This window comes from Homo sapiens, chromosome 5, assembly GCF_000001405.40.
Source record: "Homo sapiens chromosome 5, GRCh38.p14 Primary Assembly".
NCBI classification, from domain to species: domain Eukaryota; kingdom Metazoa; phylum Chordata; class Mammalia; order Primates; family Hominidae; genus Homo; species Homo sapiens.
The window spans coordinates 40,302,039-40,329,289 of record NC_000005.10 but is presented as its reverse complement, the minus strand read 5'-3'; the positions used below and the strand labels follow the sequence as shown (position 1 = coordinate 40,329,289).

Sequence of the window (27,251 nt, the reverse complement as noted above, 5' to 3'; positions counted from 1 at the left end):
TAAAAAGGGGGATGTTTAAGGCAAGTCAGAATATCTAAACATGTTGTACATGGTCTATGTAAGTTGTGAAAGAATTTATGAAAAGAAGTTCATGCCAGAAATGTTGTATAATTTAAAGGTGATTAGGCCTCCCAAATGCTTCATAAAATGCCACTATGACTCTTAACTGTACAGATGCCTGTTTTACAGCTAGGCAAGGCATGGGACACATGGCGTTAGATGCTGGAAAGAGTCAGACCTTATCTGCATTTCTGTCTGCGTCCTAGACTCCATACCTAGTACATAATTAAAATCCCTTACTTACCAAGGTTTTCACCAAAAGTAAAAGTTTCTAAGAGTCAACATTGTAATATGTAATTGAGATTACGGAAAAAACAGGTTTACATGCAAGGTGTATAATGAGAATGAAGTGTGTTTTTTTGTAAGAGATTATAAGAAAGTATGGGAATGTAAATTTTTGCCTGGGTTAGAGGGTTAAAGGACTGTTTTAAGTTAAATGAAGTTTGAAAAATTTGTGGAAGGTTTATAACAGCTAATTATAAGAGATTCTATGTGTGAACATATTGGCTAAAGTTAAAATGGCATTATTCAGGATTTTTTTTTCATAAATTGGACATTGGAATAGAGAAGCACAACAGAGTTTTCATAGAACATTGTACTGCTCTGAGAAAAAATTGTAAAGGGCTATAAAAGATTTATAAAAATCTTACCTTATGGTTAAACTAATTAAAACTGAATAGATTTATAAAAAGTTATTAAAAAACTAGCTTTAACATTAAAAATACGCTAATGGAAACATAAAATTTGGCCTTTTAAAAAGGATTTTTATGTAATATTAAAAGATAACAAAAGGTTTTTGTTTACCTCTTAAGTAAACTATAAAAGAAAAAGGGGAGCAGGGAAAGAAAAGAGAGTCAGTTGGCTTTATGCTGTCTTCATTGGGTCTTGTTTGGAAAGCTGAGACTCCTGTCTCTCAGAATAATGTTTTTTACTTAAAAAAAATTTTGAGTTATCATTTTGCCTAATGAATGACTTATGGTCCTAAGATTCTATTTTGTAATATCCAATGTTTTTAAGACTTTGGTATTTAACAAACCTTTCAAAATCAAGCTTGAGATTATCATGCTTAATCAGCCAATATTAAAATTGTTTAAATATACAATTTGAATGAACTCCATGGTCTAAGTCAAATTACCTGTGATAACCCATTAGTTATCAGTGCTATGCACCTAAATTGGAGAAACAACTGCTATTCAAGAGGACATAAGTTCAATGTTAAGCACAGACTCTGGAACAACCAGGACAGCCACGCTTGTCCTTTTTGAGTCCTTAAAGCTTTTGTTATTAAAGGTTCTGCATTCCATGACTCATCATGGAAAAGATAAAATAATCCAAACTGAATATATTGATGTGGTGACTTATAAATTGCAGAAATAGTTTAAAACCAATGTTCAGTTCCATATTCCTGGGAAGACAATCAAAGCTTCGGGTACATTTCGCTACCCGATGGGCCATTTAAACATTTATAAAGGGATTTCATTCAATTGTCATTTTCAACGCATGCTTTCTGGTTGTATAAAAGCTTTCCCATGCAAGAAAGCTGATGTTATAACAGTAGATTATTATGCTACAGTGTTTTTTTGCCAGGTAAAATTCATTGAGGACAATCCCTTCACAATCTAGAACTGGAAGATTGGATTTTCTGAAAACATCGGAGAAAGACTGTCCTTGCCATCCACACTACAGCAAATCTTTGGAGACTTGAACTTTGGGTTCATAATCTCACAACTGAGAAGGGTCCCACCACACTCCTGGAACTGTGCACCCATTGGAAACCTTAAGGTAAAACTAACCAGGAATGTTTCTCCCCAGAAAAAGATGGCATCCTTGATGTCAACAACTTTTCCCGAGATCACAGATCAAGACTTCTATTATCATCAGACTCTTATCTTTGAATATTTTTTCTTTGTTTATGCCTCTATAAAAAGGGTGTCTATTATTTGAACTTATAGGGCATATTTTATTTGTGAAGGAATTTGCAGCCAGTCTTATACATGAATAACCTTATACTTTAATAGATAAAAGATGAAAGCCCAATGTAGGTGAGAAACTTCGGGGGTCAAAACTCCTCTTAATCCACATCAAGGATTAAAGAGAACAGTGCCAGGAGGCCTTCACTCTTCTAGAAGGACATCATTTGTTAGGTCCTTTTTCCATGATTTAGAATAAAAGAGACAATAATTAGAAATGTCACCCTCACAATATGCTCTACAGCAAATTCTACCTTAAAGGCTATCATTACACAACAGACTTTAAATCCTCTTGTGAAAGTTATGCTAAATAATACAATTGGCTAAATAGAAAAGTACCTGTGCAGATGCTGACACTAGTGGCCTATGGAGAAATACATCAAATGTAGATTATAAAAATTCATTTGTAGGGTTTCAATAAAAAGGACACTTAGTCAAATGAGTAGATTCTTCATCTAGCTCATTCTTTAATCTATTTAATTTTATGTGGTTTGGTTTATGGGGACTCTGGATAAGGCACATACTCCAAACTCTTGGTATTATCCTCCTGATGGTCACAGTAATAGTCTCCCTGGTGCGCTGTATTCTCTTAAAGGTTTTAAGTATTTGCATGCAGCCATCTCTAGAACATCAAATGGTCTCTCTTCAACTAGAATGACAAAAGCTGAAAGAAATGTGTGACCATGAGGACACCATAAACTATGAATGACATACTGAGACCAGAAACCCAAAATGATGGTAACTGAGAGTAGTGCTGAGGCCCTAAGTTTTGGTCACACTCTCACCGAAGTGAGAACCTGGCTGAAAAGGGGGAGTTTTTTTTTTTTTAAACGAAATTATGGGAGGCCATTATTTTGGACTGAGCTTATGCACTAGGCCCCAACAAACCAAACCAAACTAAAATGGAGTCACGTGTGCTAAATGTGACATAACCAAACTAAGGCTTTAAGAAACACATAGATCCTAGAACAGATAGGGTTTTGTTTTTCTCCTGTGGACAGGTTGTTCCAGCATAAGGAGGTACCCTCTACTCAGTCCTTATTCTCTCCTTGCAAAACACACTATTCTATTGTTTCCCAGTGAGTTTCAAAACCATATAAGTACATTTACGATAGTAATAGTAACATGAATGACTAAGATTTTGGTCATTTTCTCAAAATTGAGAAAATGACCAAAAGTGGGGAATTGTTAAAGCAAACTAAATATGGCCTGAGAAGGACTCCATACTTCTCTATTTGAGTCCTTGTGAATGAACTGTAACCTAGCTTAATAGTCAGACAAAATTGAAAACCTAACTTAATACTATGCACCTGTAACAATGGCTGAGTGTTGGCCAATCCCAGTGGCCATACTTCAACCACTCACAGACTGCTGAATGTTCAAACTGCATTCAAATAAGGCAAACGTCAAGCTTAACCAATCTCACTGTTTCTGTACCTCACTTCCAATTCCTGTAAGTCACTTCACCTTTTTGTCTATAAATTTGTTCTGACCATGAGGACCACGAGGCACCCCTGGAGTCTCTGTGAATCTGCTGTGATTTTGGAGGCTGCCCGATTCAAGAATCTCTCATTGCTCAATTAAACTTCTTTAGATTAATTCAGCTGAAGTTTTTCTTTTATCAATAGAAATATGTTACATAAATGGAAACCACTAAACATAAAACAAAACAAGAAAACCAAGGGCCTTGTACAACTGGTATACAATGTATAAGAAAAATGTATACCTTTACTTTGATACCAAATGTGAAAATAGGTAAAACCAGCTTAGTGGAGATGATAAAACTGATTGTACATAGTTTTTTCACTTGGTCAATAGAGACAATGACCAGGGTTTATCTAGTTTCCTAAACAAATTATTTTGCTTTCTTATGTGCAAATATATGATTAGAATGTAGTAATGCGGTGGAAAAGTTAACTTTTTCTGTCCATTTCTCACATGAATTAAAATCCGAGCTGTGGTCAATGTGGAGTAGCTTTCTGATGCAATAACCTGCTTAGATGCCTGCATGGGGTGCCTCTAATTCTTCATATCTGGAGTCACAAACCCAATCCTAGAGTTTGTGATCAGTCCAGTTTCCAATGAGGAGGGAGTTAAACAACTTAGTGTTGCCAGCATTGTAATACCAGCAAAACACTTGTATAATATATACTATGTGCCAGGTACCATGTTGAACACTAATATGTATATATACTCAAACTCATGAAGTTAACGCTATTATCTGAATTTTATAGATTTGGAAACTGAAGCACAGATAGCATAAGTAACTTGACCACAGTCATATATCTACTACATTGCAGAGCCGGGATTCAAATCTAGACAGGCTGGTTTCAAAGTCTAGGCTCTCAATTGCTGTACCATTTGCTTCTTCTATATTACGGTGCTTCTGTAGTATGTCAGCTCCTTTGGTCTTGCTCTTAACTTTTGGCCTATGATATACTGCTCTTTCCTAGTTACTGCTACCAGTATTGATAACAGTATGCTACTATTTTATTATTAAAATGAAAAATTTATACGTGAAAAATCTTAATTTAAATATATAGATTAATTGATCATTATAACATTCATATGGAGAGGTCAAAGTGAGCATTGTTATCTCATGCTACACAGTTGAGAAACTGCAATTCAGTGCTTTACCCAAAGTCATCCAAATAGGAACATGCAAAGCCAAGACTTGAACACAAATCTTCTGATTGCAAGCACAGAGCTCATTGACCACACTGTACCTCTTTCTTACAATATGGCTTTCTTAGTGCCGGTTTTCTCTCTGAGGACCTGTTTCTTCCTTTAGCTAGCTACACAGAGACTGCTCACTCCTTCATGTGTTATCTGCCCTCACCTATGGCAGGCATATCAAAGATAATCACCTCAGAATTAAATACAACGTTTGTGCAAGAGATGTGCCCAGACAGCAGCAGGGGATCATTTGGTTTTATTTCCTGTTCATCTTTGCATTCTTAGCCACGCTGTGCTCTTCCTGTTTATTCTGCCGTTTCATGGTTTGTAAGGAATTTGATTGATTAGTTTTAATTAGTGTTCTTGGTACTTAGAAAAGGCCCCAACCTTCTTTCATTGCAAAATTAATAAATACTAGGAAGGAGAGGCTTCTAATAGCATTTGAGCCCTGCAAAGTTGTTACTGGGTCTCATAATCCATTAGCCTTTTCCTAATAGGAATCTCCTTCATCATAAGTTGCTAATAAAACTGATTTATTTTGTTGTTTCTAAAAATCCAAGTCTTAGCAATTAACTTATATTTCAAAGCAAGATATAACTGTGATGAACGTTATCAGATTTCAAAATTTGGTTTAACCTCTACAAGACAGTCAGCTTATAGTTGATATGTTTCTTGAGTTTTATTAAAATCACCCAACTGCTTATTTTGGCTAAATACTTTGGTGGCAATGCGAAAGAAGATAAATGGTTATTAAATGTTGCATAAAACAAAGAAGTCAGGCAAAGAATGGGCAGAAAAGTGTGATTGGTCAGTGGTTGCAAAAAAAAAAAAAACCCAGTTGCAATTACTACAGGCATTTGACTCTGAAGACCTCAGCATGTCTCGAGTACTTACTTAAAGGACCCTGACCTTTGATGGCCAGCTTTGTGAGTTACCTCTTTCCACTACAGATTTAATGTAATTTAGTATCTTCTTAACAATGTCTTTGTCAGACCATATAAGGTATGGTTTGGCTCTGTGTCCCACCCAAATCTCATGTCGAACTGTAATTCCCATGCGTCAGGGGAGGAACTTGGTGGGAGGTGATTGGATCACAGGGGTGGATTTCCCCCATATTGTTCTCATGATAGTGAGTTCTTAGAAGATCTGAAGGTTTAAAAGTGTTGCACTTCCCCCTTTGCTCTCTTTCTCCTGCTGCCATGTAAGTAAGACTTGCCTTGCTTCCCCTTCTCCTTCAGCCATGATTGTAAGTCTCCTGAGGCCTCCCTGGCCATGCAGAACTGTGAGTCAATTAAACTTCTTTTCTTTGTAAATTACCCAGTCTTGGGTATTTCTTTATAGCAGTGTGAAAATGGACTAATACAATATGTAACAAGTTTTAATAATTTGTTAGGAGCCCAGAAAGAACCACAAAAGTTTAAGAACTCTGAGAAAGAAGAAAACTAAACAATAAGTAAAAGTAATTCCTAGAGTGCACAGAGGTATAAATTAATAACAACAAATATAGATCAGATAGTATTATTTTGACAACTTCACTGTCTTCATATAACTTCAGAGAAGCCAGGCTGATATCTAAAATTATTTAACTTATGCGTGTAATCCCAGTGCATTTGAAGGCAAGGTAGGAGGGTGCCTGGAGGTCAGGAGCTTGAAATTGAATTGGGCAACACAGTAAGACCTCATCTCCACAAAAAATAAAGAAAGTTAGCCAGGTGTGGTGGGGCACCTCAGTGGTCCCAACTATTTGGGAGGCTAAGGCAGGAGGATCACTTGAGCTCAGGAGTTTGAGGCTGCAGTGAACTATGGCCATACCACTGTACTCCAGCCTGGGCAATAGAGTGAGATTCTGTTCAAAAAAACCCCACAATTATTTAACAGATTATAATTGTTGCCTCCAGGGTGTACTCTGAAGCTGATAATAAAATGCCATACCTTTCACTCAGTATGTCATAATCAGAAAGCTCTGTAAAAATACAGATCTTAAAATATTATGTTTATGACCACTGGGGTATAGAAGCCAGGGCATAGGCATGTAGATAGATATTGTATTGGTCCCTTGAAAGACTACTGTAGTTCTTCTCTTATATATTCACATCTTGCACAAGTGGAGTCAGTTTTTATTCTGTTTTAGATTATGTAATTTATGTTCCATTGTGTAATGTTATTTCCTTACATTATTAGTAAATCCAGTATTTTGACCAACCTGTCTTTTTGTCTTTTTTAAGTTGGTTGTCTGCCTATCTATAAAGCCATTCTTCCATCTTTAGTTCTTATCAAATCAGTCTTTTCTATTTGATGCTGTTTTTAAATGATTCTTTCCTAATTTTCTCTAGCTTTTCTCTGTGCCAATAAGTATCTGATCTAAAACTCAATGAATGTTCCAATATAAATTGGTGATATTCTTAAATACACTTAATTTTCTGGAAGTTAATTCAATAGTTAACTCTTTATTTACAGATATTATCTCAGACAAGTGCTTTTCCCCCCTAGTCTCCCTAGGTGGTGCCAACAAAATTTTTCCTCACTCAAAATCCTGTAGATTGATTGTCTTCTTTTCAGGTTGCTGACTTTCTTTGCAGCTGAGATTCTCTGTGAGATGTCTACTAACCATTAGTAGAAAACTAGTGATTTTTGTTACTAATGTAATTAACAATTGTTCAGAGACTTCAATTTACTTCAATTGATGAAAGATGACCATTCCATAACCCCTGTGGGATAACACTCAGAATGTGAGTATGACCATTCTATAACTATTGTAGGATAGCACTGAGAGTGTGAGTTTACCAATTCCAGTTTTATTCTAAACTGAGTCTCTGTATGATTTCATGTCTTCAAACAATCAGTTGCTAAGATACCCTTTGTCAAACAATCCAGTAATTCAATAGGGAAAAAATAGTCTTGTTTTTGCCAAGTCAAAACAGGTGAACTGTTCCAAATAAAAATATAAAAGATTATGAATCCATGAACTCTTAACCCCTAAAATAATGTAGAAAATTGTGATCTGTGAATGTATGCATTTTCCAGGGAGAGGATTTTTTTACTCTTATTAGATTGTCAGCTCCTTGCACAGTGCTTGACACATTGTTAAATCTGAATAAATATGAGTTGACTGAAGTATGACTAAGTAATTCTAAAAATGATTCCTTCATTATTAAAAAGGAGTCTAGGAATGACCAGAATTACTTTTTTTTTCTGTCAATTTTCCTCTCTAAAAATCTTAGTTTCTCCTTTTTGATTTTCTGAGGAGGTGACTACTGGACGTTCTGAATCCTTCATGTTTCTTGACTTTTCTTTCATACTTTCTAATTCTTTATCTCTTTATGATATATTCTGGAAAATTCCTTTACAATATTTGCTGGGAAATTCATCAATTCAGACTCCTAGCTCACCAATCCACCTTCAGCTGTGTTTTTTCCCCTGCTATTCATATTATTGAAATGTTTTAATTTTGATTTCAATACTATTTTCTCATGGTATTTTTTTCCCCCACTAGCCTGATTTTATTCCTTAGATTTGATGACCTCTTTCTGCTTATCACTCATCCAGGGATTCCTAATGGTTTCTGGTCCATGGAGGTTCCTTTTCTTGATTTTGAATGTAGTTATGGTTTGAAAAGATAATTTGATGTCATTTTTAGAAATCCAAGATGATCAGGCCTGAGGGAAATGATACATGTGTGCCTACCCTCTTTAGGTAGAAGTCCTTACTTTTTCTCCGAGTGTCTTTTGAAGCCAGTTACCCCCCACTTAAAAAAATAGTATTTCTTATTATATTGTAAAAATCTTATGGAAACGTTGTTAGGTCTAAAAAAATAAATGAAACCCATAAAAACTAAATCACACTGTTAAATATCGCTATTAGTGTTTTTGATAAATATCTTTTTATTGAATGAGACTTTCTTATTTCTTGTATGTTCAACTCATGGGATGGAAGCAGGAGATATCCATGAGCTGAGAAAAACACACTTAAGGTTAAATTCATGGAGGAGGACAATGTAATGTAATTTGAAAGGAAATAAGATTCTCTTTAGCCAATTGATATCTGAAACTTATGCTCTTAGAGCTGGGAACATGAGGCATAGCACTGGAGATAGCTGTTAGAAGGTAATTGACTTTCTCAATGTGTAGTGTCTGTGATTATTATTATGTTTGTTGCTGTTTTTATTATTGAGACAAGGTCTGGCTCTATTGCCCAGGCTGGTGTGCCGTGGTGTCATCTCGGCTCACTGCAACCTCCACCTCCCAGGCTGAAGCCATCCTCCCACCTTGGCCTCCTGAGCAGCTGGGACTACAGGCATGTGCCACCACAACCAGCTAATATTTGTATTTTTAGTAGAGACAGCATTTTGCCGTGTTGCCCAGGCTGGTCTCAAACTCCTGACCTCATGTGATCTGCCTGCCTCAGTCTCCCAAAGTGCTGGGATTACAGGCATGAGCCACTGCGCCAGGCCTGTTATTATTATTATATTTTTCAGTCAGCCAAAGAAAAGACTATCAGGAAACTGGCACAAGACCACCCCAATGCCCTTTTCTTCCCTTTCCACTCAAACTTTCTGTTTCTCTATCCTATAGCAGAATGAGAGTTAGAAAGAATAGCTGTGACCCACAGCTCAGGAAGCTGGAAAAATTTCTAAGGAACAGGAAAACTTAGAGCTTGCTACCCACTAGGTAAATAATCCAACTGTGTTTAAAAAAGGGAAGGTATAAGGATTTTGATCTAGAAGAGGATGCTAAAAGAAGTGGGGCATTGGGGAAAGGAGTTAGTAGGATGAAATATGGGTGTGTGTGTGGAATATTCTCAACTAACTAGAAAGCATTCACATGGGGTGCCACAGAAGGGCTGGGCAGTGGGTCTCCAACCAGTGGGAGGAATTAGACTGTTATGAAAAGTCCTTCTTGATTTCACCCCTTTCCCAAGCTCTCTATAGTTGAAATGTACACTGTAAACCACTGTCAATAGTTGACTGAATCTTATTTGGGTATGTGTTAACATGGCAAAAAGAAGGGAATAAACCACATCTTCCTCCTATACCTGGGCAACAGCACACAACTAAGACATTTTCAGTGTGTTCATTGATGAGGGTGGAACCAGCAGGAGAGCTGTTTTATTTTATTATTGGGCTAAAAAAACCACACTCTTCTCTCTCCCTGTGGCACTTTCATCCTCAATTGTTTGCTTAGTTAACTTCTGCCCTTACTTCATGTCCTAGCTGAGGAGTCTCTCCCTTCAAAAAGGCTTCTTGCAGCTTAGGTAATGTTTCCTCCCTTTTCTCACTTTTCCTTTCCCACATTTAGCATGGCATTCTGTACTACCTCCATCCCAGCACTGATTACTTTGCCTTGCAATTGTCTGTTTATGGTACTTATCCCCAGAGTGAAGCAAGAGGGCAAGAACTATGCATTTCCACTCTATGAACAATTGCACTTGAGACATCTAACTCTGTGCCTGCAATATAGCAAGCACTCAGTTTGCTTTGCTGGTTGTATCTGCCACTAATGTGCTAAATAATAATAATAATAGATAATACTTGTATAGTGACTACCATGTGCCAGGCCGAGTTCTAGAAACTTCACATATATTAACTCATTTAATCCACATGACAAATGAGTATTATTTAACACATTTTTAACAGACAGTTTGGTGTAATTTAGTCCACATCATAAGTAGTTAGGTACTATTGTAAAAGGTTTTGGTTTTAAAAATGAGCAGATTAAGGTGCAGAAAAATTAAATAACTTGTCCAAGATCATACAGCTAGAAAATGGTAAAGCTGAGATTTTAAGCCAGTAGATCTAGTCCCTGAGTGTGCATTTTTAGCTGTAATATTAGACAGTTTCAACTTAAGGCATTTTCTACCTCCAATGATTTAAAAAACATCTATATATTTATGTATTCATTTAAAGCAGACCTAAGGCTCTGAAACAATTCTGATATAAGCATAAATAAACATCCTCCCAAGAATGACTTCAGAGGTCAGAAAGGAGCCAGGCTTATGAGAACTATACTTGCATGTCAAAGGACAATTGTTTTCCTGTAATGAGGTCAAAAGAAATCATTTGCCAAATAAGATGCAAGAAGTGAAACAGGCTTAGGTTTTCCAAAATGTTCTTGACAAAGAGGGTGGATGTTGTAGTTTAATTGTTCTCCTGACAGAGAGATGCAACCAAGGGGTCAATAGATCTGTAGAATCGTATTTCTAAATGGTAGTTTGTTTCTGCATTGCTAGAATAATCATTGGGAGGCAAAATATTTATCTTCCAGGTATAATTGAATTCCGTTAAATCTTTGAACTTTTTTCTGCCCTTCTTTCAGTTACATAATGCATCTGGGAGTATGAATACAGCTAGGTTTGACATGGGCATGGACAATGCCTTGCAACGGAAGGTGAGGAATTTGTCTTATAGTCTCAGTTTGCCATCAACTAACATGGTGAGCTTGGCCAAATCACTTAACTTCTTTGTGCCTCAATGCATTGCTTTATATGTCACTGAATACAGCTAGGTTTAACCTGGGCATGGGCAATGTCTTGTAACAGAAGGTGAGGAACTTGTCTTGTGGTCTCACTTTGCCTATCAACTAACATGGTGAGCTTGGCCAAATCACTCAACTTCTTTATGCCTCAATGGACCACTTTATATGTCACCCTCCATGACAAAACTAGAGCTTGATTTTTGACCTGAACTCTTCCACCCCTACTTTCAACTGCTCTGTGAGAAAAATCTAAAGTTCCCCCTTAAGTTATTTTAGTGGCAGGTCTGTAACCAATCCAATCTCAGAAACTATGAGCTTCAAATTTTTGTCAATGTTCAAATAGTAGAGATAAAGATACATCCATTTAAGTGATTTTTGGAGGTTGGGCTACTTCTCAGGTGAAAAGGGGGTGATATGTATTATTAGGATGTTTTCAGTTAGAGCTACAGAAAATCAACTCAACTTTTCTTATATCATCCATACACTTTTAATAAGTTTCACATAACTTTCATGGGTAATGCAGGCATTAAGCTTGGTATACAATGTCTCTAACTTCTCTGAGATTTTATTGGTTCTGTTCTCTTCCATGTGTTAATTTCATATTTGGGTTGCTTAAAAGATGGTGGTAGTAGTTCAGGCATCTTATTTAAATATGAACATGTCTGGAGGAAGGAGAGTCCATTCCTCCTGTTTTTCCCACTCAGGAGTGGAGAACTATCATCAGAAGTACTCCAGGTAACTCATGTCTGATTGGCTGGAATTGTATCAAATGTCTATTCCTAAGCCAATCACTGGCAAGGAGAATGGATTGCCATGATTGGCTCAGATTCCGACAGTCTTTGCCAGTGTATTACTTGGTTTCTCGACATGACAAAGTCTTAAGAATTCCCTATTCTGCCAATTTTGATGATGTCACCTTAGCTTTCTGATTTGCTTAAATAAATCCAGATTTACCCTTGGACCTTGGGATGCCCAGATTTATCTTTAGAAGAGAGAGATATCCAGATAAGCAAGGTTTAGTGAGGAGGAATGGCAACAGTGTTCGCTAGAGTCACTGTGGAAGATGATTATCAAAACAAGAGGCAGCATGGAGCAGAGATGGTGGTTATGGAGGATTCTAATGCCAGAGAAGCAAGCAGATCAATTCACTAGTGCAGAGGGCAGCAGAGTCTCTGGAGGTGAACAGTCTGAGGTTCCAAATGTTCTCTACTATTCTCTGGGTATATGAATCTGGGGAAATTAATTTTGCCATATCTCAGTCTCATAATCACAATAAGATGGAGATAATTTCCCCACTTTGGAATTGACGCTAAAGTAAAATAAGAAATGTCGCAGATGGTTGCCATTATTAAAATAATGTGACTGACTCTTCTGGAGTAGAGTGATTAGCAGAACAGTCTAAGTAGGGAATTATTGATAATTGAAAGGGTGTGGCTAAGTTGCAATACCTAACCTTTATTAATGTGTAGAGCTTTATCACAGCACTAACCTTTATTGAGTGTTTCTCATATGCTAGGGGTCATTTATGGATTCTATCAATAATTAGGTACAGGGTACCTACAATGTGTCAGGCAGTGGAAGTACAAAAGTAAATACAAACAAAACACTTCTGTTCTCAGGGGTTTAAAGCCCAGTGTGGGGAGACAGACATAAGTAAATGTATGAAGCATATAGTATGTGAGATAGCACTGAGTTCTAAGGGGAAGAGTAATGCAGGGAAAAAAGACGGTGGGGAGGGGCTGGAGATGCAAGTTTAAACAGGTGGTTGGGGAGGGTCCTCTGAGGAAGATGACATGTGGGCAAAGAATTGAAACAGGTGAGTGAGTAAGGCACATGGCATTCTGGAGGAGGAGAGTTCCAGGCAGAGGGAACAGCCAATGTGAAATTTCTGGTACTGGGGCATGCCTGGAAAGTTCGGAGAAAAGAAATGAGGACAGTGTGACTGGAAACAGAGAGCAAAGCAAAAATCAGGAGAAGGTGAGGTCAGAAAGCTGGAAGGTGAGAGTGGGTGTGGGAGCTCACAGGCTTTGCACAGCATTTTCAGGACAATAGATGTCACTCTGAGTGATACAGAAAGTTGTGAAGGATTTTGAGCAGAAGTAAAATGATTTTCACTACTTTTCCTTTGTCATTCTTTTGACATTCTTCTTTCCGCATCCCTTCAGACAGACATTGGGGTCTCTTATTTCACACCCTGTGTCCTAGATGCTCTTTCAAAATTTTCATCTTTGTCACTCTGGGCTGCATCTTAAGAAATTTCTGAGTGCTATCTTTTTATTCATTAATTCCTTCTTTGTCAAATCCTGGGTTCATCTAAATTTTGTTTGTGTGTGTTTCATTATTTTTAAGAAGTTTCAATTGTTTTTTATGTACTCATTCTTATTTTCCTATTTTTCTATCATAATTTATTATTCCCTTTAAAGAAATTTTCTCTTTTTTAATCTCTCTGGATATTCCAAATTATTTTTATAAATTTTTAGGCAGAATATTATTTGAATATTACTCACTCAAAGGGGATTATTATCCCCATTGTGATTTTTTTGGCCGCCGTACTTAGCACTCATTTTCCTCCCATGGTATGCAGTCTCCCTCCAGAGTGGGATGATTTTATTTTCTGTCTTTTCTCCTTTGTGCTCATCTCCTCTTCGTCCAGTGGTATTCTTTGTTGCCTTCATCTAGCCCTCTGGATCTCTAGTCTGGAAACAGATGTTTTGATGTGTTGTGGCCCCTCCTTTGTTGTGATGCTGGAAATAATAACAGTCTGACAGCCAGTTCCTGAGTGTGGGGTGATGCTTTGTAAACCAGCTTTGCTGATTCCACAGTGTATAAGGTCTTGGGTCTAGGATGAAAGCAGTTTTATTAGCCTTTTCCTAAGAGCAATGGGGAGGGGAAACTACCTCCATCCCAGCATCTGGCTTCAAGCAGTGAGACTGGATCCTGTCCCTTGTCTAGCATAGAATTTTCAATCTCCCTTACTTGCCATCACTCCTGCCTGTTTCCTAATCATAGATCCTGCAGGCCGTGGGATTTAGCCATGTTCCCTGCTTTGTGTTTCTGTTCCAATTATAGTCCATAATGATGTTTTTGTTTTTAACCCTACGTATATTGTTGAATTTTATTTTTTAGAGTTCTCAATAATATTATTTTGGATAAAAATTAGATGTCAGAGTATGAAGTTCATTCACCATCTTGACTGGACTTTTCAAATCGATTTTCAGGTAGAAATTTAGAATGCTATTTGTGTCAGTAGTTTTTGTAACCGTGGCCAAATCAATTCACTAGTCATAATTTTCTTACCTGGATATTATAGCCTGCTTGGACTGCCATAACAATATACTATAAACTGGGTGGCTTGAAGCACAGATGTTTATTTCTAACAGTTCTGGGCACTGGGAAGTCCAAGTTTCAGGTGCTGGATTTGGCTCTTGGTGAGGGCCCTCTTCCTGGCTTGCAGATGGCCACTTGCAGAAGGCACTGTGGTTCACATGACCTCCTCTTTGTGCCAGTGAAGAGAGAGAGAAAGAGAGTGAGAGAGAGAAAAAACTCTTTAATGCCTCTTCTTCCTCTTATAAGGACATTAATCCCATCATCAGGGCACCACCCTCATGATGTCATTCAAACCTAATTACTTCCCAAAGGCTCCACCCCAAATACCATCATACTGAGAGTTAGGGCTTCAGTCAATACATGAATTTTAGGGTAACACAAATATGCAGTCCATCACACTGGACAAATACTACGTTATTGTTTTCCAGTTTGCTTCATAATCATGGTTCGTGCAATTTCAATAGAATGTTGATAAAGAATGCTTCACTTAGGTAAGTTTGGGAACTCTAAGTTAAACCAGATCAAATAGATTTTTTCCATTGAAGTTCTTCTCAACGAGATGCCTTAAACATGCACATGTATATTATGAATTACCTACAGGGAGATTAAATATGCATAATCTGTTAAACTCATTTGAATATGGCATTTTTTTCATGCATACTCACTAATATCTCCTAGAAAAGTATTTCAAGGAAGACAATATAGAGAATGTTAATACTAACCAATATATACTTAAATATGTATGAAATTACAAATTGTGTATATATACACAAATTTGCACATATATGTAATTATATATATATATTCTGAGTACTTAGAAAAATACTGTTTTATACGGACTGTCCTTGACTTGTGAATAGTTTGACTTGTGATTTTTTGACTTTGCGGTAGTGCAAAAGTGATACACACTTAGTAGAAACAGTACTTCAGGTACCCAAACAACCCTTCTATTTTTCACTTTCTGTAGAGTATTCAATAAATTACATGAGATTTTCAACACTTTATTACAAAATTGGCATTGCATTACATGATTTTGCTCAACCGTAGGCTAATTAAGCATTCTGAGCACATTTGAGGTAGGCTAGGCTAAGCTACGATGTTTGATAGACCGGGTGTATTAAATGCATTTTCCACTTACAATATTTTTAATTTATGATGGGTTTATCAAAATGTAACCCATTGTAAGTCAAGGAACATCTGTATATACATACATACATACATACATACATATATGTGTGTGTGTTATATTATTGTGTCATCTAGGTCATCAGCACCAACAAATAGCATAATACTATGAATAAGAAAGTCACTAAAAAGTATTTTGTTTTGTTTTTTTAACCAGTGGAAAGTAGGAATTATGGAGCAATTGACTATTAGAATGAAAGAGGTTTTTCATATAGAATTGAGTGCTTTTCAATTTTTTAAAGCTTTTCTCAAACTAAATTTTATATAAAATTTCTCTCTATGTATCTATATAATAGAGTTGTGCTGTTTGCAGTGGTTGAGGAAATGGAGCCTCCAACCTTCCTTTTCAGAGTAAACCCTAAGGACCTCTCAGGAACCTCTAAAACACTGTATGGCCTGGCTTGAGTTCCCCCATTTGATGCCTCATTTTAACAGAGGAGGAGTCAGACACTACAAAGTTGAAGTTATTTCTCAATGTCTACTAGCTAACTGGGGCTAGTAGCAGGACTAGAATCCAGATTTTCTACGTTCAGTGTTCATTCCCCATCATGCTGGTTTTCCATCTTTTCCAAACCTCCAAATCATTTTGTCAAATGACTTCTTTTGCAGAAATTCAACATATGAAACAGAAGTAAAGCAGAGCTTCTCTGGCTGAAGGAGGAGGATTAAAGGTATCAAGAGGAAGGGTTGAGGGCCACCTGCCAGCCCCTACTCATTGGTCCTTAGTGGCTCAGGTACATATTGTTCAAAAATGATACATTAAACCAGGCAGAAACTATACATTCAGGCCTTTACAGAGGGAGGACACCATTAACACACTTCATGAAAGGGAATATTGTGATCTTCTTACCCCTTAGCAGAGATCATGGCTCAACAGCTAGAAGAATTACAATTTTTTTTTCATTCAGCAAAGAGATTGTTCTTTGTGAAAGAACAAAATGGCAAAGTTGGCTTTTATTTTAAAAGAAGAGACTCAAGAGTTCCTCTAATCCTTAACAAATGAGTGGGCATCAGTTGCCAAATCAGAGGCAGAAAGAATCCAGTCTCAGGGCCCCAGAGCACAAACTTCTAGAACTTTGGCCATCAAGTGAGTGATTCAGGTTGGTGAAATCAGCCCCTTTCTCTGATTTCAGTTAATGACAACAGGCTTTCAGGAGAAAGGCAGTGGCATTGTTCAGAACAATGCCTCTCATTTGGGTGCTCAGCTGTGTGATGAAAGCATACGTAAATATTTCTCATCAGTAGCAAAATCATGCTTTTGCCCTTATCAAGTTCTGCCAAATTATTCACACTAAGTTGAAAATGAGTAACGTATAACATTCTGTTGGTTTTCTGCCTTTTGTTACTTCTATTTGGAGAGAGAATATGAGCTTAGTAATCTAATAACTCTGTGTTGACCAAGTGAGATGAGAGAGGTACCCCAGAGCAGGGACTTTTCCTTCAAACTCAGCTCCAAGATGGGCAATGAGACTCTAACTCCTGCTGGAGGATAGATCTTGCCCTGGCCTGATGAGGGGTTTCATGGCTGTTTTAAAGAATCTTTTCTTCTAAGAAGACCAAACAGTAAACATTAAGCTTTGGCTGGTAGAAGTTACCTTCAGAGAGAGAGACAGAGAGAGACAGAGAGGCTAAGAATAATTAAGTACCTCTGCAAGTTTTTGTTTTACTCTTGCTTTTATCTAGGAACTCATTTTTAATTAGAAGACCTGCATTTAAACCTATTCCACTTCTCGTTTAATATTCTACTAAGTTATTCTGTAGAACCTAGAGGTACTCTTTGATATTTACAAAAATGGCCCTCACCAGACTCTCATCTCCATGCTTCCCATTGTTTAGAAGTTGTGGGCAAGTAGATATGGTAGTCATGAATTAATTGATTGATTATTTATTTTGAAAAATATATTGAACGCATACTATGTATCACATATCGCACTAGTGTCTGGGGCAGAGCAGTGAATAAGAGAGACATAGTCCCTGCTTTCAATGAGCTCTAAGTCTATTTATAATATTGTATTATATTAATTCACATTTATTAAGTTCATGCAACTTTAACCTCTTCAGTACTTTGAAGCAAAGATGTGTTGTTCCACAAATTCTTGAAACCTGCAAGATGCAAGATATGCAAGTGAAGCATTAGGAGTTGAGTAATAATGCCTTTGGAGGTATCAATTACAGCAGGAGAGTATGCCACTCAAAGGAAGAGTGATGAGGATAGAGAATACCACCCAATAATCAGAAATTCATTTCTATTTATTTTTGGAATGCATATGAAACTTTTTTAAGGGTGGTAACTTGTTCTCATTAGAGACATGTGCTTTACGTTATTGAATATTAATTATATTTTGATTAGGCTTTATGTAGTCACTCCAGAAGCCAATGTTGAGTATTAGGAAAATCCACCTAAAACTCAGAAGATGAAATTTTACTTTTTCTTTTTCTTAAGAGGGAGCATGTTAGGAGAACTGGACCCTTTCTTATTACATGAGTGAAGTAGAGGACTGTATGTTAGTCCCAGCAGTGTTGGTACCAGGCCCTGTGTCCCTCCTAAGTGAAAATTCTTTGTTCACAGCTTACAGGGCAGGTATACTGTGTGACCCCATAGTCTTCCCTACCCAAATCCAGAGATGAGCCAATTATCTACAATGTGTCCTGGTACAAAAAAATGTACAGGCCAATCATACTTTTTTCATATAAACCAAATTAGGAAATGCAGAGAGAAATTGGAGGTACGTCAAAGGACATATAGGGAGCATTCACAATATATGCTTGGGGTCATAAGTCAAGGCCAAGCTGGAGTTGGACAAAAGTAGAAAATATTAAAGAAGAAAGAAGAAAATATATGAAGGTAAAAAGAAAAAAAAATAAGAAAATAGTGATGGGACAGAAAATGCCAAGCAGAAATATTAATGGCATATCACTACAGGGCAGCCATAAAGTCCGGAAACATAGATAATACTTTATTGTACATTGTAATGCAATATCAGTGAAGTATTTATTATTTGTTTGGCTACATTTACAGATTTGAAATTCAGCCTGTAGGTAGAAATTCTGTAGCATGGCTCTGCTGTGGATCCCACTCGAGTTGTCTGACTTTTCCTGTATTCCATGGCATTTGTATTCACTGTATACCATCTTGCCCTCCCCCATATTTCTGGGGATAACTACAGTAAATCTTTTTTTGCATGCAACAAGAAGATGCTAACTGAACTAGACTCTTTGAGGGGAAGCACAATTTCCTAACATAGGTTTATATACTGTTTTTGGCTGGGGAGATTTTTCGTGTGTGTGTCTTACCTTTCCTGTAATCTATGCTCCCGAGACTTCTAAAAACTTACATTTGTCTTAAGTGCTGTGCATCTATCAGTGCTTCTCTTTGTGTAAATATTTCTACCATGATATAAACTGCAGTGTTTGATTAAAACCATTGATTTGTGCTTGCAGAGCAGAAAACAAACCATTCAGTTTACTTCAGTTGAATCTAATATTAACTCTAATACCATGCTTGCCAAAACTTCCATTAAAGACATATGCCTTGACTCATTGATTCCAATAATAGGGAAAAAGCACCATTTCCCAGCAGCTGGAGATTTGATGTTGCTTTTGAGGAAAAAAAATGATCCCGCCAAAATATTTATATAGCTTGAGAACTCAAGAAGCCCCTTAGTAAGTGGGCAGGATTCTATGATCTCTAGTAGCACAGGAATCGCTAGTTTTTGAGGAAGTCTAAAATGGCTCATAGAGAGCACATGGATGAGACAAGTAACATAGAATAAAAGTTAAAGTAATAATGTTGGGAAGGACAGACATCTAGAAGAGAAGCAAAAATAAAACAAATCTCAGACTAAGAATAGTATCATCATTAAACTTAAACTTAATACTCAGATTCTCAGTAGCCCAGGCAAGAGGGAAACTAGATGATGATGTAGTTCTTATTGTCTAACTACAAGATGTACCTATTTTAGCTCATTAAACAAAACCCAAACCTTTTCCTGGTCCTTTGATTAGAGGTGAATATATTATGATGTCTTTATGTATTATGACAGCATTGAATAATATTATGAACCTCAACCTGCAGGTTGGTAACCATATCTATAAATGTAGTCAAGCACACAAAATTATCTACTCAAAGCCTTTTTTCTTTTTACTAAAAATTCTTACAGATTACACGTTCAGTGTTTTTATTTTGATTTTTTTACCTTAGCCCTTGGTGACAGTCAAAAACTTTAAATGATAATTATGTAAAGACAAGTTTACAGGGGCCTGGGGGTAGACATTGAGTGATATGTTCAAAATACATACCTGTCATGTATGTACAGGATAAAACGTTGGCTCCAGGCCTTGCTTGCACTTCCAGATTTATTCTGACATTCTCATATAAGCTTCTACCATCCATTTCTATTGAATCATCTGCAGTTGCCCTGAATATGTCATGTTGCCATTTGCCTTCTTGCCCTTTCATTTGGCCTGCCTTTATCTGGAACACTTCTCCATAGCCATTCAATTTTGCCTTTTTCTTATGCTAACTCTAGCACTGCCTACTGCCTAGGGGAACAAAGGGCATGGTGCTGGGTACTTATAGGCACCAGAACATTCCTGAGGACTCACACCACAGGGAAAGGTAAGCTATTCACTTCTTGTGCCATCCACTCACAATTTTAGGGAAAGGTATATAAATTAATGGATTCAATAAACATTAAACTAAATGGAACATTTTGTCTCTTTCTTCCACTAACCAATGTCTTGGGCTTAAGTGAAAGATATTTAAAGAAAATTAAGAAATTAAATTTTCTATGTATTTCTGAGTGGTAGCATGATGAATTTTGTGACCTCTCAACATGCCCAGTGAGGAAAAAAATTCTTTTTAAACACACTGTAGTTATAGAAGATATTTGCCAGGGTGTATGCATAAAAAAGTTTCATAAACCTTGGATGCCAGGCCACAGACAAACTTCTAACAAGTCCTTTTTCCTTCTCAGGGCTCTGTACTCATTGCTCTTCATCCCACTGCTGTGTGCTATTGTCTTTGTGATCTTCATGATTGGATTTTGCTTCTTCAAGGAAGATATAAAAGAGCCCAAGTAATTCTGGAAACCAGCATTTTACCCTTGACCTCCTGCTTTTCATCCTACTGGTCCTCGCCAGAAGTCGCTGGTTGCCTGGTATAAGAAAACAATCATAATTATCTCATTAATACTTGGACCTGGCCTCCCTGCTAATCAGGTTTGTACTGCTGAGATTTCAAAGGAGAACAGAAATCTACTAAGAAGAAATAAATTGGTTCTCAGGCTATAAATAGTTCTAGGAAGCTGCCCAGGGACAAAAATTTGCCTGCTGGTGAAATAAAAGACCATGTAAACTGTAGATTTATTTGGAGAGTATAGTTCCATGAATTTAACTGGTCTAGACTCTGGGCCTCTGGAAGGCAGAGACCATGCTCTCAGCCTTGCCTTTAGTACCTTGTCTGTAACAGGCTATCAGATATGTTGATTGTGTCAAAGATAAGCAAATTCTGAAATGAGTAATTTTTTTCATTCTCTATCCTCTCTGAATTCACTTAGTGCCTCTCAGAATGTGTCTGAGTGGAAAGGGATTTGCACAGGATATGTCCAAACAGGTTATTGTAACTTTGGAGGTAAACTCTTGTCTATCATTCCATGCACTTCATTATTATTTATATCCATTTCTTTCTTTCTTTCTTTGTTTATTTATTTAAGTAATTGGTCATGAAATAGACTTGCATGCTGAATACTGAAATGTGGTGTTTGACACTTGTAAATTATTCCAGATTATATATGAGACTATAATAGATAAAAGTGATTTAGATAATAAAGTGATCTGTAATTGAAGTAAATGAGAGCTGGGTGCTGTGGCTAATGCCTTGTACTCCCAGCACTTTGGAAGGCTGAGGCAGTAGGATCGCTTGGGTCCAGGAGTTTGAGACTAGCGTGGCAACATAGCTAGACCCTGTCTCTACAAAAAGTAAAAAATTAACCAAGTGTGGTGATGCGCACCTGTAGTCTCAGCTACACAGGAGGCTGAGGTGGGAGGATCACTTGAGCTCCAGATGTTGAGGCTGAAGTGAGCCATAATCATCCTACTGCACTCCAGCCTGGGTGACAGAGGAAGACCATGTCTCAAAAAAAAAAAAAAAAAAAAGAGAAGTAAATGAAAACTTAGAGAAATAGTAGTTGCAACTTCCAAACCAAAGCTTGTAATTCTGGTCACTATGACTTGGAAATATTTTCCAGAACAACTGTGACTCTTGCCGTTGCTCTATAAAATACTGGCAAGGTCCAAAAGGGAATTTTCCCCCACTGTGTATAATATTATTAGACAGATGGTATTGTATAGATGTTCATAATGATAATTTTTTAAAATTAGCACAGCAAATATTAACTGAACATGATCTTCATGTCCTGTTCCACACAGGTTGTATTTGTTGATGTGGACTCTGATAAAACTGAAAGTTCTTTACTAATGAATGCAAAACCATCTCATTGCTTACATTCTTTCTAGAATTTGCATATGCAAAGATACAAATTCCAGAAATAGCACTCAAGAGAACAGTCTGTAGAAATCTTGTCTAACAACTCTAAATTTTCAATCAGCATTGAATCAGAATTATAGCCATAGTTCTCTGAATTATTCATGATAAATAGATGACTGGCTACCCATGGGACTCTGATACAGCGCTTTCAATGTGGTAAAATAATTAGAATTGTCATATCCACTCTTTGTAAAATTATGAGAACTGTTATTTATTAATAGCAAATGTCATAACATAATCCAACTGTTATTTTCCTATCTAATTAAAGAATATGTGTTCTGATTCTGAGGCTTAATTGTTTGTTTACCAGCTGGAAGCAAGCAATGTAAGGAATCTTTTTTGTGTGTGTTCTTAATTTCCAGATGATCCCCAATATGCCGTGGTTACAGAGGGCATGGTCACTTGGTAGGATATCTACCCTTGGAGATGAATTTCTCAGGGATTGCTTTTGAACCATCATTTATTTTCCTTAGGAGAAAAGTAGACAATACCATAAGTAAATACGCATTTTTTTTGTTTTCCCGAAACCTAGAAATGTCAGAGCTAATAAAGAGCAATTAGGAATGAAAATACAATCCATTGAATCAGATAAGAAACAAACTTAGCAGGCTGCTTCTTGTTGCTGTTATTCAATTCATAAAAAAATGTCATCCACTCAAAATCATTTGATTTTCTGCAGAAAATTCCTTGATAAAAAAAAGATCCTGGGGTTTATGTAGGGCATTACCCCATTTAGTGAAAAACTCACCCATTTCTTTCCTCCATAAATGTGTCATTTTTAGATCAACTAAGTACCAAGGAAGCTATTCTCTGATATAATGAAGAGAAAAGAATCTTGAACCTGGTAAGAGTGGTTTCAAGCCAAAACAGATAATTTCTACAGAATACAATAAATGCTCTTTGGCTCTGTGTAGTGATATTGCCTCCCAGACATTTTAAGACTTAAAACCTAAAGAATGGGTTTATTTTAAATTAATAAATGAATAGAAAAGAATAAAATCTTGTTTGTTAATGTCAAACTTCCCTAGCCTTTTTCTAATCATCTTATCAATACTTTGTATTTTTTTCCTATCCCTTTTCATTCTTTTGGCATTTACTCAAGGTCTCTCTTTTGGCCTTTTGTTGCTCTGTGTTCTCTCTCTAGGCCATCTCAACCACTCTCATCACTTCAACCATCTTGAATGATTTGGAAACCTGTATTGGGTTCCAACATTTTCTTGTGGTCCAAAGTGATAACAACAACAAGCTGGGCATGGTGGCTCATGCCTGTAATCCCAGCACTTTGGGAGGCCGAGGTGGGCGGATCACCTGAGGTCAGGAGTTTGAGACCAGCCTGGCCAACATGATGAAACCCCGTTTCTACTAAAAATACAAAAATTAGCTGGGTGTGATGGCTTGCACCTGTAGTCCCACCTACTTGGGAGGCTGAAGCAGGAGGATTGCTTGAACCTGGAAGGCAGAGGTCGCAGTGAGCTGAGATCATGCCACTGTGCTCCAGCCTGGGCAACAGAGTAAGACTCCAACTCAAAAAAAAAAAAAAAAACCCACAAAGTGATAACAACAATAATGGCAACATTCATTGTATACTTACTATGTGCTGGGCACTGGGTTAACAAGTGAACACGCATAATCTCATTTAATTCTTACAACCACCTGTGAGGTAGATGCCATCATCATCTTCATTTTGCAGGAGAAAAAACTAAAGTTGAGTGATATCACACAATTCTCCTAGAGTCATGCAGATAATAAACAACTAAGCTGGGTTTTAAACCCTGACAGTTTGACTCTAAAGTGAGTGCTTTTGTTTTCAACCACCTGCTAAGCATCTTCCCTTGAATCTCCTATAGGCCTCTTAAAGCCAATCTACATAAAACACATTTCCAATTATTCCTGCTTCCCTTTTGGCATTAATTCATGTATTCAACCAATAAGAATTAATCAAGCATCATGGAGAGTCACATGAAAGCCTATGCACTAAGGATAAAATTTTGAACAAAATAATAGTGGTTCCTGCGTGTATAGAGTTTACTTTTCAGAGAGCGAGGCTCTCATTAATTACATTATTTTGCAAATAGATAATTATTCCAAGCTGGAATAAGTGCTAAGACGGGAAAATAAAATATGCTGTGGGAGCATCTAATAGAAGACCTGCTTTCTTTGAGGGGAAGATACGGAGTGGGGAATGCAAGAAGGGCTTCCCCTATAAATTGCTAATTAAGTTGGGATCAAAAAGTTCAGTAGCAGTTAACTAGGCAAGGGATGACTTCCAAGTAGTGATTCCAACACCTGCAAAGGCCCTGAGATGAGAAGGAGCTTAGCATATTAGAGAGACTGAAAAAAAATTGGTATATCTGGGACAGTCATCAAAGTTACAAGGGTAGCAAGGACAAGACCATGTAGGCCCTTCTAAGATGTGTTAAGTATTTTCCTCTTATTCTAAGACCAGTGAAAAGCCCTTAGGAGCATTTAATTATTGTAGTAAAGGAATAAAATTTATGTTTTGAAGGTGCCATTCTGGCTGCTGTTGGGAGGCTGATTTGTAGGGGGAAGAGCAGATTCAGGGAAACCAGTGAGGAGGATATTTCAGTGTTCTAAGTGAGAGTTTATGGTCTTATCTCTCATTATTTCTGTTTAAAGAAGGATTGTAGTCTTGGAGATGGAGATGAAAGACATTCAAATATACCTTTCAATTCAAATCAGAAGTCTTGGAGTTATCTCAGCTTCATCCTTTTTCCTAATCATTTTATCTAATTATTCTCCTGATGATTTTACCTCAACGTGTCTTGTGTCTTTTCCCCTTTCTTCATTTTTATGGCTACTACCTGAGTTCTAAATTAGTTTATAAATTGTACTAATGCAATAGTCTGTTTAATTCATTCTCTGCTATTGCCAAACTGTTTATTTTAAAATATAAATACAATAATATTTCTTTTCTGTTTATAACCACACCATGGTTATAGGATAAAGTCTAAACTTTAAAGAACATAAGAATCCTATGTTAGCCATATTGAAATACTAGCATATTTATATGAAATAAATAAATATAAAGCATTTTCATTATACAAATCATTATACAAATCATTATAATATAATTGTTACCCATTAGGTGGAATGGCTGTCTATAATGCGAGAGGTAGAAGTACCAATGATTTTATATGAACAACTTATTTGCTCACTTATGTTTAAACTAAACTTTTAACTATATTAGATTCCTCTTGTGTCCAGCCTCATGACCTCTTCATTCACCTCAATCTCTGCAAGCTCTTGCTGCAGCAAAAGCTTACCCATGTGCACATGTATATATATTTTTTCTGCCATGAGGTGTCTCTGATGGCACAGGTGAAATGCTTTCGGAAACCTCTGCAGTAATTCTGTGCAAACTGGAAGTAGAAATTAATGCTAATGGGAAACCTGTGCCCAGTGAGAATTGGAATTGGTGGCTATATATCTCCTTTCCCATCTTTTGGAAGAACAATTCTGTACAGCTTCCATACATTCTACACAGCTTCTCAAAGGGTCCCAGTGGGATCAAGCTCCAGTTGTCAATTCAATAGATTCTTCAAATGGCCATCTCTCCTTCTCTCCTCTTCCCTGGAGTTTTCAGAATAAACCAATTGCGTATAAGCCCTTGTCATAAGCTCTGCTTTCGGTGGGAACACAGGCTAGGACATCCATGTTGACTCTGGTAGATGTAAGGGTGACTAAAGATTATGATGAAGTAGGTAATGACTTAATAAAAAAGGTGCTGTTGAATTATACTTAAACAACAGCAATAATAAATGGGTTCTGATTAATCATTCAGCAATTAATGATCACAGGAGAATAATTAACAAGCAGTATATATGTTGGCTCACTATTTTCAATGCATAAAAAAAGAGGCACTACCAAAAAAAATTGCAAAAAACTTTTGATAAGAAAAGTAAAAATGTTTTAGCATTGAATGATCACAAACTTGGGACTTGTAGTGCTAGGAAAAAATGATCAACTCTAACATAAACTAGAAAGAAAAAGGCACAAAAGAGCTTTTATAAGAAGCTGCACTCTGAAGAACACATAGCATACTGGCAAAAGGGTACAATATCTCGCCAAAATTCCAGTATGTGTGTGTCTTTTATAGCACTCTTGGTACATTAGCTTCCAAGATCTATTCCTTGAGCTCTAAGGATAGAAAACTGAAAAATGGCAACTCTTCAGTGAAGATCGAGAATCATTTGGAAAACGTACTTGATTTCATGTTAGTAATATTATTGCCAATAAGATGCTTCTCAACTTTATTTGTTAGAGGACAATCATGAGTCAGTACCCACTTTTTTCAGCTTATAAATAACAGATTGAAGTAATAAGGCACCCAAAGATGATGGAATTAATACAGAAACTTGTTTCATTGGTAAGGACCAGGGGTTCCTGGTCAACAATTTCATCTGGAGAATCCAAAGTGATGAACCAGTTCATGTTCCTGATACAGAGCTGTTTTAACTAAGGAGATAAACCCAACTGGGAGTAAACTCCCTTTTTTCCTGGCTACTGTTTCCAATAAGTATTTTAATTTCAGATTTCTGTGCACATTTGGGTTGGTCATCAATACCTTGCAGAATTTCTGAGCCTACAATTTCAGAAAGTCATCTTGTGGGAAATAACCATCACAGGAGACAAAATGAAAAGATCAGCTTCTGCATGCCCCTACTATTGCCTTGAATAGTGAGGGCAACAATAACTTTCTGCTCAAATATGTCTCATCATATGTAAGTGTGTCCATGGGTGTGATGTGTGTGTATGTACATGTGCATCAATGGTTTTTGAAGCTTCTCCAGATATTTAAATCCCCTGCTCTCTCCTTGTCTTGTGCTTGGTTACTCATTAAAAATTCCCTAGGAGAAACACCTCCCAGTAGGGGCTGACAGACACCTTAAACAGGCGGGTGCCCTTCTGGGATGAAGCTTCCAGAGGCAGGATCAGGAAGCAATATTTTCTGTTCTGTAGCCTCTGCTGGAGATACCCAGGCAAACAGGGTCTGGA

General features: G+C 37.0%; 1 long non-coding RNA gene across 4 annotated transcripts; it reads left to right on the top strand.

Moving 5' to 3' along the window:
• Positions 1–1,652: 1,652 nt before the first annotated feature.
• On the top strand, positions 1,653–22,517 carry LOC105374736 (uncharacterized). 4 transcript variants are annotated; one of them, XR_001742649.2, is made up of 4 exons: positions 1,653–1,842; positions 16,298–16,422; positions 20,218–20,306; positions 20,665–22,517. It is a non-coding gene; the product is annotated as an uncharacterized LOC105374736 (long non-coding RNA). The 4 variants fall into 4 exon arrangements; XR_007058741.1 differs by lacking the exon at positions 1,653–1,842 and adding an exon at positions 11,018–11,089; XR_007058742.1 differs by lacking the exon at positions 1,653–1,842 and adding an exon at positions 14,930–14,994.
• The last annotated feature ends 4,734 nt before the right edge of the window (positions 22,518–27,251 follow it).